Genomic DNA, 19,354 nt, shown 5'->3' with positions numbered 1-19,354 from the left:
CTAGTCGCTTGGCCAATTGTGCCAGAAGATGGAAGCCCTCTCAATGCCTTGTGGTTCTCCCAGTCCCCAGCCAGGGCCAGCTGGGGCATGGCAGGCTATGGCCCCCAATGGTATCATCACTGATTTCAGGAGGCTAGAACCCTAGCGCTGTGGGGGAGGGGCTGGCCTGCTGCCAGTCCCAGCATCCCAATTCCTATGGCAGTGCAGGGGGAAGAGCCTCTGTGGGGGCGAGGCTGGCTTCCTCCTGAATCTGCCCATAAAAGGATAAAAGTGCTGCTATCTAGTCGGCATTGGTAGGATTGCTGATGATAAATTTTTTAAAAGTGTGGATTTTTCCCCCTTTTTGCAAGGATGTGTGTGTGTGCGTGCAGGCGCATGCATGCGGGTGTGCCTGCATTCACACAGTTTGCAGCCTGTATGTGCTAACAGATGGATTCAGCCTCATCTTTTATCCGGTGTTACAGAAGATAAAACTGAAACTGGATGATATGCTGCCTCTTCAATTTAAAAGATAAAAAATAAAATAAAAAAGCTCTTAAAGGGAAGCCCTTATGGTGGAAAAGAGTGGTCCAAAATATTGTCAGGCTTTACTCAAAAGGCAAAGAACAGCAGAGCCATTCGAAAGTAATTTTTCTCCCTCCTCCCTCTCTGACTTATCCAAAATATATCATCTATGTGTCAGAAGTAGGGCAAGCTTTAAGGCTATTATGAATTATATATCAAGGGATATCATTTCCCAGGAGTCTTGAACAAATGCCCAATGGTTTAAATTTTACAGACACGCTCTTCCCCCCAGTGGCAGCAATTTCTGTCACTGCAGTCTTCCTGAGATGGAATGGGAAAGTGTTTTGCAAAATGCACAATGGGACGTTATGCTAATAAAGGTAATTGTGCAGTGGTTGGAAACCATTCCTTCCTGAAAGAGGCTTTTATCCTCCACAGACTGCCCCACACTGCAGGTACTTAGGCAGCAGGCTGCTTCCACTGGTCTTGCCTTCTTTTAGCTGGAGTCAAATACATCCAGGGTGAGGGCAGATTGAAAGAGGGAAACTGAAATCAACTGGGCATTTCTGTGCCCATCGTGTAAGACAAAGACCTTGCCATTTCATCTGAATATCAGATATTCTTTGCCTATCTATTTATTATTCTCTAAGATTCAGGAAGAGCTTTGTGAAAGTCATTCTTTTATCTAAAATTGGAAACATACATTCATTGGCGAAATAAGAAAGGTGGGTTTGAGGGTCTTGGTATTTTGCTTCCTTACCGCTATTGGATGGATCAGAAAGTTAGCCCAGAACATGGGAGACGAGGACGAGCGATTACCAGAGTGCATTGCTGGGCAGGGCCTTCCAGACAGTAACAGCGACAGCTGCAGGAAGTGGCTTTCTCCGCTCCATGCTTCATACTCTCCCTCCCAATTTATTCTTTTGAAGTGGATATTTTAAAGTTCTGAGATTTTCTGTATGCAGCCTTGAGAGAATCCAGATATAATTATTTATGTAAGTTTGTCGTTTTCTTAATCTTTAATAATTATTTATTAATTATCTCACTTTATTCTTATAACACTTTTGAGATATGGAGGGCACATCATGTTTTTCCCATTTTAGAGAGAAAATAATTGAAGGCTTGGTGAAGTCACTTGAGTAAGGGCACTACTGCCAGAGTAGTGATATTACATAGATACAGATATAGATCTACACACACAACACTCCACACTCACACGATATAAAATACAAACCTGACAATAGCACCCTGTCTCTGCAAAATAATAAAAGGTAAAACCCTACGTTCAAAATGCAGATTCCTTTACAAGTATTTGCTAGGCCCTCTGTGGTCCGCCCAGCCCCTGCCTCATGTGCGGTGCAAGCCTCCCTCCCAGTCCAACCCATCAATTTCTTATGCTCCAGCCACACCCCTTCATGCAGAGTTCCTCACATGAGGAGGTTTGTCACTTGTTCATTTTCAAGGCCCGTGCTCTGTGCCTGAACACCCTATTCCTACTTCACATCCTCACAGCATCCCTTAGTGGTGCATGGAATTCACACTCTGATTAGGCCCCAGCCCCTCCAGGAAGCTTTTCCCGGCCAGATCCCATCACACAGGTGGAGTCCGGTGCCCACCACGGATGCTTCCACACCAGCCTGTGCAACTGCCACACTGTACTTAATCGTCATTTCCTGTGTTTATATTTCCTGGAAGCTTACGGGCTGTTAGCAAACAAGATGGAGGTACCATACCTTGTTCTCTGAATCTTCATCCCCAGGGGTGGAAGAAATTCAGGAAACCAGTAACAGCCTGCAGGGTGGGCTCCAGTGAGATTCCTTCTCCTTCTTACTGCTCCTCTGTCTGAATGAACCTCAAAGGCTTTACCTAACAGGTAGGCTTCGGTAACTGTGTGCTATTCAGGTGTGTGGCTCCTTCCAAACCCCAAGATGAGGTCACAACTGCCACCCCACCCATCACCCCCCGTTACCCAGGCCCTCAGCACCACACTTAGCAGACATGTTAATGAAACATACTGATTTCCAGGGTCTGTGGCATCTGATTGGTCCCTAAGTGGACACAGTCCCTGGTGAAGGACACAGAGTTCAGGATCAGACACCCTTCTGCCATTGACTGGCTGTGTGATGTCAGAAAATTCACCTGAGCACTCTGGACCTTTGTCTCTGCATCAGTAAAATGAGAGTGGTAGATGCTACTTGAAGCTATTTTGTTAATGAGAGATTATTTTGTATAATGAAAGGTACATAAATCATATGCATAAGTATTTGCCATTATTAGCATAAAAAAATTCAAGTTTGCAATCCAATATATTAGGGGTTTGTTAATTAATAATATGTGGCAAAATTATTTTGTCATTACTGAAGAAGTCATTGGCTTAGTCAGTTCAGGATACTGTAACAGATTACATAGACTGGAGTACTTAAATAACAGAAATACATTTCTCACGGTTCTGGAGGCTGTGAAGTCCAAGATCAAGATGTGGGCAGACCTGGTGTCTGGTGAGGGCTGGCTTCCTGGCTTGCAGATGGCTGTTTCCTCATTGCATCCTCATATGGTGAAGAGAGAAAAACATCATCTCTGTTGTGTCTCTTTTGAGAAGGCCACTAATCTTATTCACAAAGCTCCATCCTCATGACCTGATTCTTCCCAAAGAATCTTCCCTCACCTCCAAATACCATTACATTGGGAATTTAGGCTCCAACCTATGAATTTAGGGGGATACAAACACTCAGTCCCTAGAAGTCATCTTGTTGCTGCTTTAGATATTACAACTTTTAAGTTAAAAAGAAAAGAGTTTGATGAGCACTGCAATCAAAGAAATCCATTAGCTGTTTGGCCAAACAGATTTCTTTATCTCACTCAGCCTGGGCATCACAAGATCCACTGTGCTGGGATGTGGATGTGAGGAATGAATGACAGAGGAGTGATGAAAGGGGCCAAACTCAGCCCAGGAGATAGCCAGCTCCTGGTGTGTGGGGGTTTTGGAAATTTCTTTTCTATTTTTTGTTGTTTGAAATGGGGTCTTGCTCTGTCACCCAGGCTGGAGTACAGAGGCATGATCATGGCTCACTGCAGCCTCAACTTCCCAGGCTCAGGTGATTCTGCCACCTCAGCCTTCCTAGTAGCTGGAACTACAGGCGCATGCCACCATGCCCAGCTAATGTTTTGTATTTCTTTCTTATTTTTTTTTTTGGCAAGGGGTTGGGGGAGAGATAGGATCTTACTACGTTGCCCAGGCAGGGGTAATTTCTTTCCCTGAAGTTGTCCTACTTCCAACCTGTGGCCCTAGGTCCCAGATGGATTGTAACCAGCTTGTCCGGAGTTCTGAGTAAGCCTTGCAGAGGGAGTGTAGAGACCTCAACAAAAACATTTTCTCTGAATAGATAGGTGACTCAGCACTGGACACCAAGAAAGCTGCATTTAGCTGAAAGTCAGTAAGAAACTCGGGACCGGGCCTGGGGCAGTTGGCCTCCTATCCTGGACCATGAGCTCCTCATTCACAAAGCAAGGGGCTGGGCAGAGAGTTGCCCAGGTGGCTTCCAGCTCTGGCATTCAGTGCATCTGAGTGAGTTGTCATTTATAGACCAGGAAGGGCGAAATTATCCCCATTAATCTGCTCACAGTTCTGGTGCTTGAGAAGCCACTGGGTCTTGCCACATCTCGAATTAGCTCTGGGCCCTTGGGCTTTTAATTAAAGGGCTTTGTGAGTCGGATGGTTTATGGTCAGATTCAGATCTTCAGGGAGACACAGAGGGAGGTCCTGTGTTCTGTCATCTGCTTGTTTAGAAATCAGCTGCCACTCTCAGTGTGAGAACTCAGAATCCGGAGTCTTGCAAGGGACTTCCAGCAACGGCTGTGGTTACACCTCACCCCCTACTTTCGCTGACTCCAGACCCCAGAGGCTGAGGGACAGTAGATATGCTGCCTGCCATTGCCTCTTTCCTTGTGCATGTCTGAGTGGTGCCAGCCTGATCAGATTCTGTTGCAGTTCCCCGTGCTTGCCACAATGTCGGTCGCGTTTCTTATCCAACGCTGTTTCTGCTTCTGGTGGTTTGTGCTAAATGCATTTTCAATCCCAAGTGGTACAGAGAAGAAAAGGATTGTCTTTAAAAAGTGGCTTTGAATGTGTCGAAAGCAAGGTTGCCTGCTGTGTGTTTTTGACAATTGCCTCCCCAGAGGAGCCTTTGAAAACCTCACTTTTCAAGACGCTTCAACTCCTATTAGAAAGTGACTTAAATAAAATTGCTCTTCTGACCATCGCGGCTCTGGATGCCAGGCTAGTGATTATTTGTCTAATCTGAGTCTCCAGGGCTAGAACTTCACACCGTGTCTTTTCACTACCCTCCCAGAGGAGGTGAGAGGAGGTGAATAGACACTTGTCAGATTCTTCTGCCTGGTGTCACTGTGGGGGGATGCACACACACTGGAGTATAGGCTTGCTAAAGAGAGACTGCATTGCTATTTCAACTAGACACGTTTACTTTTCCCGCAAATGATTACTGAGCACCTATGGTGTGCCCGGTACCATGTTAGGGCAAGAGATCTACCTCATCCTTGCATTGTAAACCTGTAGCATCCGTGGCAATGTTTTACACCACTGCCCTCCCAGGGTTCCTGCAAGCTGACTCCTTTTATTTTCCTTGTGCATGCTGATGTGTTCAAGGTATTTCAGTGGGCTACTGTGAGACTATCTCCCCATCAGGATCTCTCAACCTTGGCACTAGGAACATGTTGGGAAAAGTAGGTCTCTGTTAAGGGAGGAAGAGGGGCTTTCCTGTGCGTGATAGGATGCTTGGCAGCATCCCTGTCCAGTAGCACCACATCTACCTCAGTTGTGACAACCAAAAATGTCTGCAGACATTGTCAAATGTCTCCTCCCTATTTTACATTTACCAAAGTGCTCTTTATGTCCTTTACAGTTAAGGAAACTTAGGACCAGGAAGAAACTTGCTCAAGTCAAACAGTGAGTTGGCGGTAGAGCTTTAGCTACAATTTAAGTCTTGTCTTCCCAACCCAGTGTCCATCTTATGGATCCATTCAGTGGTTTGCTCCTAAATGCTTAATAACCAATTATCTGGGATAAACGAAAGCCAAACAAACTTGCTGGGAGCGTGGGACAATTTCCATGGTGTAAATACTTCCACCATGGCTGGTTTCAAGCTACTTCCATGGCGTCACTGAATGTGAAGTTGGGAAGGGATCTGTACAGTTGGATCTGGTGAGCTGGTGCCAGCCAGCTCAGAATGCCCCCAAGTCCATGTGTGCTGCTGATCACATATTAGTCTTGCTCTCCTCTGGACCTTGTTCTGCCACCCCCCAGACACATGCCCTTATCACTGTGATGTGCTGTGGGGAAAGCAGTCACCTGGTAAGAGTTTTTGATAACTTCTCTGGATAAACATAAAGCAGTTAGAGTGGAGTTATCCCCCTCTTCTGTTAAATGAAAGTTTCTTTTCACAGTCTTTCCATTGAAGGAATTAGAAAAGTCATGGGATACCTCTGGTCTTAGAGCAGAAATGAAGTTCCCCAGAAGGGGGTCCTGGACAGAATGGTCTCTTGGGCAGGGACTAGATGCTGTTACTTACCATCAGATGTGTCTACTGTAAGATGCTTGGGAGGCATCAAAGTGGTGACAGTGGGGGGCTGTTGGATTTTACCATTCTGGAATATAAGAGAAGGGGTGTGGCTGGTGTTTTAGTCCAGATAGCAGCTGTGACCACTGGGAGCCTCATTTTCCACACCTGCAAAAGGAGAAATAGTGATCCCCTTCCTAGTGTTGGTGTAAAGAGTAGATGAACCTCTGCCTGAGTCTCAGATGCCTGCTGCCCACTTGGTTGCTTAGTGGATCGGCTGGCTGTCAACAGTGTAAGCTTATCAAGCCTAAATACTTAGTTGGTCTTGACTTTTTCACCTCGACCATGACTCAGTGTCATGTGCTCCTAGTCATTCTGTCTGTGGTCCAACGTTAGCCTGGGAAGCACCTGGGACTGAGGGAAGAACCCTCAGCTAGTTATTCAGCGATCCAGGTTCTCCTCCTGCCTTTGATATCACCTCATTATATAACCTTGGGAAACACTTTGGTGTGACTGGAATGTGGATACTCCCAGGGGAAGGGTAGGAGCATGGTAGGGCATTTGGACTTTATCATGAAGGTGGTAGGAAATACTTGAAGGGTTTTAAGCAGGGATGACACATCATCAAATGTGTGTTTTGAAAACTTTTTTCTGCAGAGGACAGGGCCACAGCCCAAGCAGGATCAAACCAGTTAGGAGATTGATGTAACAGTCCCGTCAGAAAGTGATGAGGTAGCTGGGTGCGGTGGCTCATGCCTGTAATCCCAGCACCGTGGGAGGCTGAGACTGGCAGATAGTTTGAGACCAGCCCTTGGCAACATGGTGAAACCCCTTCTCTACAGAAAAAAAAAAAAAAAAAAAAAAAAAAAAAGCCAGGGATAGTGACCTGCACTTGTAATCCCAACTATTCGAGGTGGACATTGCAGTGAGCCAAGATCACGCCACTGAACTCCAGCCTGGGTGACAGAACGAGACCCTGTCTCAAAAATAAATAAATAAATAAATAAAAGTCATGAGACAACTCATAGGCACTAAATGCTGAGTGGCACAGACAGAAAGTTCTATGAGAGTTCAGCAAAGGGAGAGGTCAGTATGGATTGTGGTCTTAGGTGGGTATCAGAGAACACTTCAGGGAGGAAGTAAAACTCTGCTGCTGGCCTTGAAGGATGGTAGACAGGGTGGGGGGTGAAAGTCTAGGCTGCAAGGCAGGGCAAGAGGGTACAAAGCTGCAGTAAATCACATTTGGGCTTAAGCTGGGAGTTAACATAAAGGATGGCTCTAATTAGTATGCAGTCATTTATGGAAGAACTTGTACCCTCAGCTTAGGAATATGGATTTTATTAGAAGTGGTGGTTCTCACATGGAAACTGCATTTTCCTGTAGTCAGTTTCTGTGGGGAATCTTATCATTATCTATTCTTCTATCCGCTGCTCCCCTCATTGGGGTGGAGGGTGTGCACCCCCCTCCTGCAGCCCTGTGCTATTGGGGAAGGCAGAATCCCTTTGCATCTTGGGGACGAATGCAATGCTGAATACTGATCATATGACCCCTGCTTTGCCTCACAGCAGGGAGCCTAGGAACAAGAGCAGCTGTGCTATTGTCTGGAGCGCAATTGCCAGTGTTTGTCTGCCGAGGCCAGGGATGACCCTTGCCAGCATCATAGATAAGCCGGCTCCCAGCTGTCATGGGTGCATTCTCAATCATTCCTCATCCTATGGACTCTGACTCTCTCCCGCTTCCCAAGAATGATGGAAGTTTTTCATTTTCCCCCGTGCCTGCTTTGTGAAAGTGTGTCTGGCTCTTCCCACAAAGATGAAGGATGACCAACCTCAGAGTATCCAAATAAAATGAGATCTGTACTTTCTGTGAAGTGTTAGGAAACAGTTTGCTAGAAAATAGTATGAGCGATATATCATTGCCTCTGAGGCTCACATGAGGAAATTGAGGCTCATGAGTGTGTAATGACTCCCCTGAGGTGGCACAGACAGGAATTGGTAAGGTGGAAACTAGAAACCAGGCACCCTCTGAACTTCAGCATATTCCTGTTGGGTTTGAACAGGAGCATTCTATAGAAGAGGCTTCATTGTCAGGGTAGTTTTAGCAGAGGTTTGCCTGATAAGAACATGACTTTCTCAAATGTCAGTGTGTCTCCTAGGTTAAGCTCTTATAGAAACACTCCGCTGAAGGGCACTTCCAGGCATTGAGAGTCCCAAGACTGTTCAGCCACTGTGCATGGGGCAAGTCACTTGCCATGTGGAACTGGAACCCAGATCTCCTGCTTCTCAGCCCAGAGTGCTGTGCCTCCTAGCCGGCCTTATGGCATAAGTGGTCTCTACGGAACACCCAACAGAAGCCACCTGACAGTGTCCCTTGTAGATAGTGCTGCAGGCTGGGGCACTGGGAAGCTTTGAGGTGGTCTGTGGGACTCAGGGGGTGTTCGCCATGTGACACCATGTGGCCTTTGGGTACATGAGGGCTGTAGGTGTTCACAGGATATACCAGAGCATACCAGGATTGCTGGAAACTTGGACAACACATGACTGTAGCCAGACTGACTCTAGATTGTCCTCACTGCAGCGTGGCCATGGTACCATTGCTTAGTTTCTCACTCCAAGGCAGCGTTGGCCTAGAACCTCTGTAACATACCGTTACATCTGATAGTCAAGGTCAGCTTGGCCTCACTCATTTAGGGCAGTAGTATTTGCTGAAATTCAAATAGATACTAAATACTGCACTGGTCACTTTAAATGCTAGGTATCCCTAATGACCCTGGAATGAAGTTGTTATTCTCATTTTGCAGATAAGGCAACTAAGGCTTAGCTCCAAAGACCTGAGACTGAGGTTTATGATTGTTGGGCTTGAGTCCCCAGGCTCTTTCTACAGCCCCATCCTCCACTAATGCTTACTAAAGCATTTGGGATATCAGCTTACCATCCAGCTACAGATGAAATTTAGAAGCATCAGTATGTGTAAAGTCCTCCACAGCCTGACAACAGCCTCTTTTTCCACTCATCTACTCACTGTATCTCTGCCACCTCTTTCCTTCCTCCCCAGCTACGCTGGGCTATTCACTGCCCTCAGAGAAGCTGAAGTTTACAATTCAACCATCACCTCTTCTCATTTGTGCAGGGCTCTGGGCTAGTTACAATCATTTGTAAAGATGAATGAGACATGACCTCTCCTATTAAGTAACTTTCCACTCAATGGTGGAGATAAAACACGAACACAAATATAATAGCTCATTTGGTTTTCAAAGTAGTCCAAAGAGGCTTGCTGGTATATATCTCCATATGATCTGCATTTAACAGGTGTTGTATCTGAGGATCTGACAGTAGTGACTGACTAAAGGTCACACAGCCCAGCCAAGGCCAAGTTAGGGGTAGACCCGGGTCAAGACCAAGTCAAGGCAACCTCCTGGCTTGCATCACCTGGGGGTGGTCAGGCTCAGACTCCACAGCCCAGATTGTTGGTTTTTGTCTTATTGCTGCCTTCCTGATGGAGACAAGGCAGGCTGTCAGCCGCTGACATCTCAAACCTGCTTAAGGTGTGCCCCTTACCCCTCCCTAATGGTGATGCTCCTGTAGTTGGAGCCGTGGATGGGAAGAGGGGAGGTAAAAATGACCCTTTGTCTGACATCCAATTGTGCTGTTGCTTGGGGTTGTCTGAGAAGAGGAAGCTGGTCTCCTTGGGTTTCTAATGTGTCTCCCACTTCCTCACTCAAAGGAGACCTGGTGTAACTGACATTCTAAAATGCAGTCTCAAGGAGAAGGAACCCACCCCAGCGGTTGTGTTCAGGCAGTGCAATGTGAACTCATCGAAAAGCTTGGTGGAGTTTCCTGAATGCTGCAGCCAGTTTGGCAGGTGTTTTCCTGCCCTGAACATGGGTGCACTCACCTTAATGGCCATTCAGGTGTTACAAAGACCACAGAGAGATGTTAAACTACAGCCTTGGGAAATGGGACTAATGTGAGCCCAGGAGTAGAGATCTGGGCTCTTGTTCTGGTTCTGCTACCATTTGCCACTTGCAATTGCCTTCTCTGCCCCATGACTCATAAACACCACCTCTGAGGGTGGCCTGGGTCCTCTCCTTTGCTGTAGAGTACAGTGGTCAGGGCCCAGGTGGGGGTCCCTCAGATGTGAGTCCAAATGCGCACTTCGTTATCTACTCGCCATTAACCCAGAGCTCATCACTCAGCCTCTCTGAGTGACTGTCCAGCTCCTTATCTGTAAGATGTGGATAATAGGAGCACTGCCATTTCCAGCAAGAGTGGGGCGAGGGCTGGTAGAACATCCAGGTGATGTCTAGACCATGCCTGGCACACAGTCAATGCTCAGTGAATAAGGGTTGGTATCTTCTGCCCCATCACCATCATCACCGGCGTGTTGGCCTCTGACTGTCTAGGACTGCCTGAGCCACGGCCACTCCCAGTTAGTCACTATCTGGTCTCTGGGCTTCTTCCATGCTCGGCTTCCCACCATGGGAAGGCTGCATGCTGGGTGGCATCAGACAAATCCTTTCCTTTTCTAGGTCTTAAGCATCCCCCAGAATAACATTATAACATATAGTCATAATCACAGCTGTTGTGTGTTGAATGGTAACCCGTAAGAAGATAAGTGCATTCCCTAATTCCCACAACCTGTGCACATGGCCTAATTTGCAAAAAGGTCTATTTACCAAAAAATCATCACTTGCAGAAGCCCCTACACAAAACAGGTAAAAAATATCTCTATTCCTTTTATCACAGGATGAGGGCCCAGAGCCCTGCACGTCAGTGCCTCCAAGAGCCCTGCCAGTTTCTAGGGCTGCTAGGAGCTGGCAGGCTTCTCTGGGGCCTCTGAAAATCCCTGGCCTCGAGGTCCTATGATGCTCCATGATTAAACATACGCCAGAAACGGTCTCTTCAGAGAACAGACAAATGCCCTCTGCTTTCTCATTAGCTCTGCACTTTACCTGTATTGATGGGAGAGTTTGTTAAGAGTGATTTCCTGGCTTCAAAAGAACAGCAGATTCTTCCTTCCTCTTGTCAGAGATTCCTAAGAAGGCAGATTCTTAGGGAAAGAGTAAAACAAAAACGAGCTTTAAACACCACCTCCTTCCCCACTAGGCCCAGTCAGGGGAAAAGGGAGGATCTCTCACCAGGTTAGAGCTGCTCACTCCCACGCATGATGGGTGCCTGCTGGCAGCAGAAAAAGGCCAGGCCTTGTCTTAGAGATGCGCCTGTCCCCTGAGGACCCCAGGTCTGTGTCCTCCCAGTAGACTGCGGTTTCTCCAGCAGGTCCAGTAGTGGTGGCAGCTGTATTCCCGTGCTGGTTTCCCATCTGCTTGTCTCAGGCTGTCCTCAATGGGACAGCCACAGAGTCCTCACTCTTGAGGGACAGGCTGCTTATCAGAACAGCTGGGTATTAGGGTTCCGGGGCTTCCAGGGCACAAGGAACCCACCAGTCTTTTAAAATACACTGTTTGAATTAGTGACACCCTGCCTTCTCAAACCATAACATGACTGCTTTATAACCAAGTGGCATCAGCCTGTTTATCTATAAGGCCAACAAGCTCCGTGAATTCAGAAGACAGGCAGGTGAACACAGGGAGAGTGGATTATTTGGAAAGAGTATTTGTGTGGATTGGGAAGCAAGGCATTGCCCAGAAGGGTCCTCTACCAACACAACTGGACATAAAAATAACCAGCCTGTGGGAGTGTGGATTGTATTCGGGTGACTGCATGTTCTTACATGCCTAGGACAGTCCTGGTGTCTGCCTGTTGTCCCAGCAATATTATTAAAAGGGCCCCCTTTCACTCTCAGAGGTATCCTCGTTTGGATGATAAACCATTAAATCACCCCAACTGTATGACTGTGTATATAAAAGTGGTTAGCAGCACTTAGTGTGGATGTGTAGCGTAGGGAGTATGTGGAAGTAAACGCCTGTGCCCATGTGCTCTGACAGCCCAGAAGCTGGCTGTGGGTTAGCACAGCTGCACAGTTGTGGGTAAGTCACTTAACCATTTCACAGCACACACGGCTTTGAGGTGAGATCAGGGGCCTCACAGTCCGATAAATGGTGGTTCAGATCCTTTCTCATAGCCTGCTAGCTTTGACCTTTATAGAATTACTTAGCTTTCCTCAACTGCAAATTAAGAATAATCATATGGACCTCTCAGAGTTGGTATCATTTTTACATAATCTATATACACATCTAGAATATTTCCTGACAAATCATAACCTGCCAACAAATGGTGGCTGTTGTTGTTGTTATTATTCTAGGGCTGTGACTGTTTTTGGCTTTAGCTCTTCATTGTAGAAATGGTGAGAGATGACCCCTGTCTTTCCTGGCTTCCCAGGCATCATGAGGCTGAAACCCAGTGGCATCCCCGAAGCCTGGTGTCCCGGGCATGTGTGCACTGCTGGTGCTGGGGATGCAGAAAGGGAACCGCCTGCCTGCCCGCCCAGCTGCTCCATCTCTCTGGGACATAGGAATTGGCTTTCCAAGGCATCATCCCCTCCACCCATCTCAGGCCCTGCCTTCATCCCCTCCCTGGCCCAGCCATGCTGTATAAACACCAACACCAGGATGTCATTTACTGGTGTTGCCTGACATTGGTCGGCTGCTACCCAGAGGGCACTAGGTACCAAATTCCTAATTCTGCCTGCACAGCAGCTGTCAGTCTTTCCTGCCTGGAGAGTCTCCTATCTTCCTTCTCTCCTTTTGAAGGAAGGTGTCATCTGTTCCTAGTGTATTTGCTTTATTCTCTTTCTTTCCACTATTTGGCTTTGCAGAATTTGAGCCAGACTGCTTAAGTTCACACCTTGACTCTATCACTCAAAAGCTAAATCCCATGGACAAGTGACTTAATCATTTTGTGCCTCAGTTACCTCTTCTGTAAAAGGGGACAATAATAATGCCTACCTAGTTTGGTTGCCATGAGGTTTCAGGGAGTCACTACATGTACAGTGCTAAACAAAGCCCAACACACAGTAAGTACTTGATCAGTGTTAGCTATTTTTATTATCCAAACACCTGCCCCTTCTGGTTTCTCAGTGTTGCTCTGTGCTTCTGGCATTGAGGGACTCAGTCTAAGCTCTGCTGCTGGTGAACTGTGGGCACAAGCATGCCCCACCCTGGGCTTTGGGTCCCTTGATTGCCCACCCCGGAGGGTGGGGACACAGTCTTTGGGGCCCTTTCGGCCTCCCGTAGTGGATATTGCCTTCCCTTCAGTTGTTGTGCCTTGCTTTTCTATTTCCAGAGCCATTCAGAAGGGGAAGGCAGCAGCCGTTTGAAGCTCTTCCCTAGCCCTCCCCTGAATGGGGTGGGGTGGGACAGGACATGGGGAAAGGTCGCTAGACTGGAAGACAGGAGATGCCTATTTCGGGCCCTAGTTCTGTTTTGAGACTCTGGATAAGGCACCTCCTGTCTCTGATTTCGGCTTCTCCATTTATAAACTGGGGTGATTACCCCTCAGCTTTGTACCGCTCTCAAAATGAGCAAAGATGAAAAGATATGGAAAAGCATTTCACTGGCTGCCAGGTGCTACAGAAGGGCAAACTCCTGATTGTGTTGTGTGGTGTGAAGCCCCACCAGGCCAGGCACAGGGCATAGCACTGTGGAAGTAGCCTGGGCCGCCTGTGGCTGCTTGGATGGGAGCAAATGCATGCTGGTGTTGCTGGTGATATGTGAGGTTGTGCTGCCTGTGGAGATGCGAGATGAGAGTTTTCAGTTTCTTTCCCCCCTTGCTCTCTGTTCTCCCTAATGGACACTTGGCCCCGGGGTGACTCACACAGTAAACCATCAGCAATTGCTTCAGAAGGCTTGGAGTCCTCTCAAACATATGCTGACTTTTTGTTGTTCTATGTTTGGTTTGGAGTAGTGGGGCAGATCCCTGGGAGGCCATTAGCTGTGGGACCTGGAGTGAGCCCCTGCCCTTGGCGAGCCTTTGTGGTTGCATCTGTAAGGTGGGAGAAGGTGGGGTGAGGGTGAGAGCTGAGTGGGGGTCCGTGTTAACTGAATGCTAGTCCATGGATCAGAGCCAAGTTGGTGGCACTAAAACCCTCTCAGAAGATTTTTAACCGTACAAGTTTCCTGACCGCTGCTCTGGATTGGGTCTGTATTTTTTGTGAGCTTCTTAGATGCGTAGCCAGTACAGGGGGCCCGCTGGAGTAGGGGAACCAGTATGTGATGGCTTACGGGCTCTGCATTCTCTACCCCTTGGTGCCCATCAGGGGTCTATGAATAGTATTAGCATTAGTAGAAGTGGTATTCGGTTATTAAGTTATTATTAGGGTCATCTCTGTGTGTGGTTGTTCAAGTTACCAGGTGACTGTCATTCTTTACAATGTGCATTTGGAGTTGGGGAATTTCTGTAAGCCTCAGTAAGTAAATGGAGTCAACAAAATGGACAGGAAGACAAGCAGGAGGTGTCTTAGAATGATGATCAGGAGGAAACCCGGTGTTCCGCCTGACTGACCCTCTTGGTTTTGTGGTGGAAAATAGCAGCATTTGTGCTGAACCCAGCTGAGTGAATCCATCCCAGTCATGCACACTGAAAATGGGTTCAATTCTGAGGACATTTGAGAAAAAAAAAAAAAGCAGTGAGGATGGGATAGCTCTCCCTGATACCTGATCACTTTGAGAGCTTTTCTCTTGTTTCCAGATCCTTTTGTGACACGCCTGGCCCCTCAGCCACAGTCAAAAGGTGAGGAACAGGGCCTTACCCCAGAATCCTTCTTTGGAAATTCACCACCTTCCATGTCTACACCTGAGGTGTGGAAAACATCCCTGTGCCAGGCGGTGCTTGGTGGTGGGAAGTGGAATTTGTGGACCCCAACCCTGAGTTTGGAGGAAGTAAACGTCTTTGCCCTGCCCTGTTACCATCACAATCCGGTTTCCTAAAATGCAGGGCCCAGCTCCACTAACGTCCACTCAGAAATCACTTTCTCATCAAGCCAAGGACATTTCAGAGTTGCTGTGTTTTCTCTATCATTTCCTTCCCTCCTCCCCCACTTCACTTCCTGTTTTTTCTTCCTCTTTCTCCACCCCCACCCCATCTCTCCTGGCATGTCCCTTGTTGTCTGAGAACAGGAACAAAGCCTTGAGCCAGGGAGCGTTGATAATTGTGACTTCCTGAGGTGCCCTCTTGCTGCTGCCCCTGCTGCTGAGAGCCAGAACCAGCCCAGCCTCTGGGGGCCTGGGAGCCCCAGCTGGGAGCCTGGCAGGAAGTCTTGGACTTTAGACCCCTACTTCCCCCACAAGCCCACCACCATCCCCCACCCCCATCAGAAAGAGAATCTAATAAAAATAATCTTTCATGCCCTTACCACAGTTTCAGCTTTAAAGAACTGTCTCATGCATTTGAGCTGAAACATTGGAAAAAACAGACAACTCTAGTGTTTGCCCTAGTAACAAACTATATAGTTCAGTTTAGATAGCAAAAAGTAGATTTAGGAGACATGAGTTTATTTCTGCTTCTGCATTGTATCTCTTTTTGACTCTGTAGATCATCCTAGCTCTTGAAAGATTGGTTTCCTACCTCTTTGGAAAAATGGAATTAATGGTATCTCACTGGGATTTTTTGAGGACAAATTAATAAGAAAGTATATTTATACAATTCTCATGGTATGCCTGACAGATATTTGCTTAATAAGTGAAAGCTCCCCTCTATTTTCTATGATTTGGTTTTCTGCACAAAGGAGTGGCCATTCAAATGCACAGGAGCCAGGAAAAAAACCCTGCAATAAATGATACTCATGGAAAAAGAGTTCATGTCTGTTGCTGTGTTTCTCTGAAACGTGGACAGAAAGAGAGAGAGAGAGAGAGACCTGGGCCCACATATGCTTCTCACTGAAGAGCAGTGCTCACTCCCCACTGTGTCACTGTGTTCATGGGTCATGGTATTTTATAACAATATTTTTCTAATGAGAAACAGGGAGAACCATCCCAACCACATGCCTGAGGTGGGCTGTTTTACTAATTTAGCTCCCAGGGGTGAAACTACAAAAACAGCAATCTGGAAAAAGTGCCACCTCCCTTTTTCAAAATGTGTTAAACAAAAAATAAAAAATAAAAAGACTTCCCATTCAAGGTCAATGACCACTTGTTTGAGAAGTCAGCCTGACCATGTGGCTGCATTTAAAAAATATGTCAAAGGCCAGAGAGTCAGAGACATGTTCCAATGTGGATTCAACTCCCAAACTGCTGAGTCCCTGAGTGAGGCTGCTTTCTTCTGTGAGCCTCAATCCCCTAATTATAAAATGAAAGAATTAGACAAGACTATCTCTTAGATGTCCTTCAGGCCTGATAATCTGTGATCTTGTGACTCTCTGCTCTCCTTAAAAAATACATTGTGACTAGTGGAGAATAGGAAATTGCTTCTCACAGTAACATGACTTGCATTCCCTTTTTAGCAGGGTACCACCATCTTAAGGACAGAAAAGCTACAGGACTCTAGGAGGCCACCGTCCTGATTTGGGAAGTCCAACTTACTTTGGCCAGACAGCAGCTAAGCTGGTTCATCCCATCAGCCTGGATTGGTGAAACTGAATCACAGGAGATATTTCCAGGTAAGAAACAATTGACTTTCGTTATAACGTGTAGCACACTGATAACCATCATTATACTGCAGGAAGTATGTCGTATGCATGCTTATGTTATGAAAGACATGAAACTATTAAGGAAAAGGTTCAAGGCTCTGGGTTCTATAGCTGTATTCTGAGTGGGATCTGTGCTATCTTGAGGCTTTTGAGGGTTAAGGAATGAAAGAGGGTAGCTGAGAATTACATGCAGGGGAAGAACAGAGTCGAGCTGTAGATCTAGGTTCCTTTTTCCTTGCAGAATCATTTAGTGTTCCTTTCTGCCCATGCTAGCCAACTAGATTTAGACAGTAGGAGGAGAGGTCCTTTGGTAGCCAATCTGAGATGGAATTTAGATCCCATGTCAGAGAACGGACTTGCATCCCACCTGCTACAACATCTTTAGAAACAAATTCAGTTCATGAAGTTTCATCCAAGGGCGCTTACAGCAGACAGGCTGCAGCTAACCATTCTCATCACCCGCTTTCCTGACCACCAACGCAATGTCTCTGTCTGCTTATTGCTCGTCTCTCTCCCCTCCTCCCAGTCACTTATGGATCCTTTCCTTCTTATGTGCAAGGAATGTGGCCACATCTACTAGAATGTCTTCATTGGAGTTGCACCTGATGTAGGCTGACATTCCTCCTAGATGACTAAAGTTTGGTCAAGCGTTCAGCTGCCTGGATTGTGGTATATTAACACATCTCTCTTACGCAGGCCCAGTGTAAGGAATCATGGTCAGGAGTCATGAAAAAAATGCCAACACACTGAGATGGCCACACATCTTCACTCTTGCACTAGTTTTTGGTGTTATCTTCTGCTATCCTGTCTTGAAGCTCTTTTTCAGCTAGATACCTTGACTTTTCTGAAAAACTAAAACCAGAAGCATTTCACGAAGCTAAGCACAGGACAGAAGGTAAGACCAGGTGATATCTAAAGCTTGTTTTGCATTCCCAGGATTGTCTTATCCCAGACTTGTTTCTTATGCCAGACTCTTATTCTTTGGGGAACATGTTTATCTCATGCCTGCTTCCTTTCTTCCTCTTGTGGTTTCTTTCTCTAGAGTGGTTTCTGAGCTATAGCATAATTCAGAGGAAGGAGAACAGTTTTGCGACTTAGACACACATGACTTCAGATCTCAGCTGTGCTCTGTGTTGGCTCAGTGATTTTGCTTAAATCACCATTTTAAATCCCCAAGCTTCTGTTTCCCCACCTGTAAGGTAGGGATAGTACACTCCATGTTATAAGCTGGTGTTGAGGATTAAGTGAGATCACGCATGAGCATGGTTTCTTGTTACAGGAGACCTCAGCAAATACCAGCTCCTTTCCCTACCTACCCTTTTTTAGAGCTACTTGAATATAGCTTTGATCCCATATCTGGATTTCATTTGAGCCTTGTGCCTAAAATCTAGGACAGGCCTTGTCCACAAATACTGTTAAGCCCCAACGATTTAAAAAGGAGAGAAACTGTTAACAGCCTTTTTATTTCAGAGCTCTTCATCCATAGAAGCCTTTTCTCACCCGGACTTTAGCCAGATTGCCTCTCCAGCCTGGCCATTGGAAGGTTTTCTCTGCCATACCCAAAGTTAGAACTACTACTTTCCTAGCCCTTTGTCCCATGAGGTATTAGCTGAAAACTAATTCCCTCCCGGTGGCTTTTTCCCTTCAGACTAGCCTACATCCAAGACCAAGAGTAAGGGTCAATTGATTTGGGGCCGGTATCCTGGCCTGGCACTCAGCAAGACAGTCAGGGTCCAAGCACATGCTCATTCAGGGCTTTCTTCCTTGCCTGTTAGCTTTTCTAAGGCAGTCATTCACCCAGTCATCCATTCAGTCAGTAGATGTTCATGGAACATGAACCATGCAGTGGGTGGCTCGCACTATCTTGGTGCTAGGGATACAGGACAGAACAAAACCAAGTTCCTGTTCTCAAGGAGCTTGCATTCAAGTAGGATCAAGGGATCATCAACAAGTAGCAAACATGTATGTATTACATCTGGTAGTATTAGGTGCTATGAAAAAAATAAAGCAGAAAAAAATAAAGCTAAGTCAGAGAGCTAGAGAGTTGAGGGAAATGGACATTACTGTTTTATATACAGTGCCAGGGAACACCTCTGGATAAGGCATTATTTGGGCAGCATCTGGAGAAAGTGAGGGAGCAAGGCTAGAAGGAAGAGCCAGAACTAAATCTCTGATCGGGGAATGCACTTGGGCTTTACCCAGTCTCGAGTGACCAGTAGGATTGGAGCAGAAGGAATGAGGAGCCTGTGGAATGAAGCGAGGGCAGAAAGGACTTGGGTGTTTATGTTCTGGCTGGCTTTTCTGGAGATTCTTCTACCCTTCCTTTCTCTTCCCCAGAGCTCTTTCCCAATGCAGTGTTAGTCATTCATTCAAAAATCTTTACTGGGCCCTAGCTACTGGGACTCTGTAGATTAATGAGTCTGGGCCCCATTCTTAGGACTCCATGGCCTGGTGCTATCAAGGTTTCTTGGGGAAGTTGCATCGATAAAGTAGGTTGATGTAAACAGTTGTCTTAATTTGATCATCATAGAGTCAATTTGCTAGAGTAGGAATTTTCCACTGGAACCTCCCACAGGTCACTTTTACCTGTTCTCTTGGAATTTACTTACATGATAGACTATTGGTCTTTCTCGCCTTCAGGGTAGAAGGAGGATCATTCATTCAGCAGATATATGAGTGCCTCTTCTATGTGAGTG

At 46.5% G+C, this 19,354-nt stretch overlaps 1 protein-coding gene across 10 annotated transcripts in view; it reads left to right on the top strand.

The window, feature by feature from the left end:
- CYRIA (CYFIP related Rac1 interactor A) overlaps positions 1 to 19,354 on the top strand; it is a 116,376-nt gene that overhangs the window by 25,343 nt on the left and 71,679 nt on the right. For 4 of the 10 annotated variants that reach the window (NM_030797.4, XM_024453166.2, XM_047445943.1 and 1 more), the window contains exon 2: positions 16,473 to 16,628. The gene's annotated coding sequence lies outside the window, so the exon portion shown is untranslated. Of the gene's footprint in view, positions 1 to 14,722; positions 14,765 to 16,275; positions 16,294 to 16,472; positions 16,629 to 17,354; positions 17,554 to 19,354 lie in introns of those variants that run through there. The other 6 variants (XM_047445942.1, XM_047445941.1, XM_047445940.1 and 3 more) reach the window with 6 other exon arrangements.

This window comes from Homo sapiens, chromosome 2, assembly GCF_000001405.40.
Source record: "Homo sapiens chromosome 2, GRCh38.p14 Primary Assembly".
NCBI classification, from domain to species: Eukaryota; Metazoa; Chordata; class Mammalia; order Primates; family Hominidae; genus Homo; species Homo sapiens.
The sequence above is the reverse complement of the archived record's forward strand: the minus strand, read 5'-3'. Positions and strand labels throughout refer to the sequence as shown.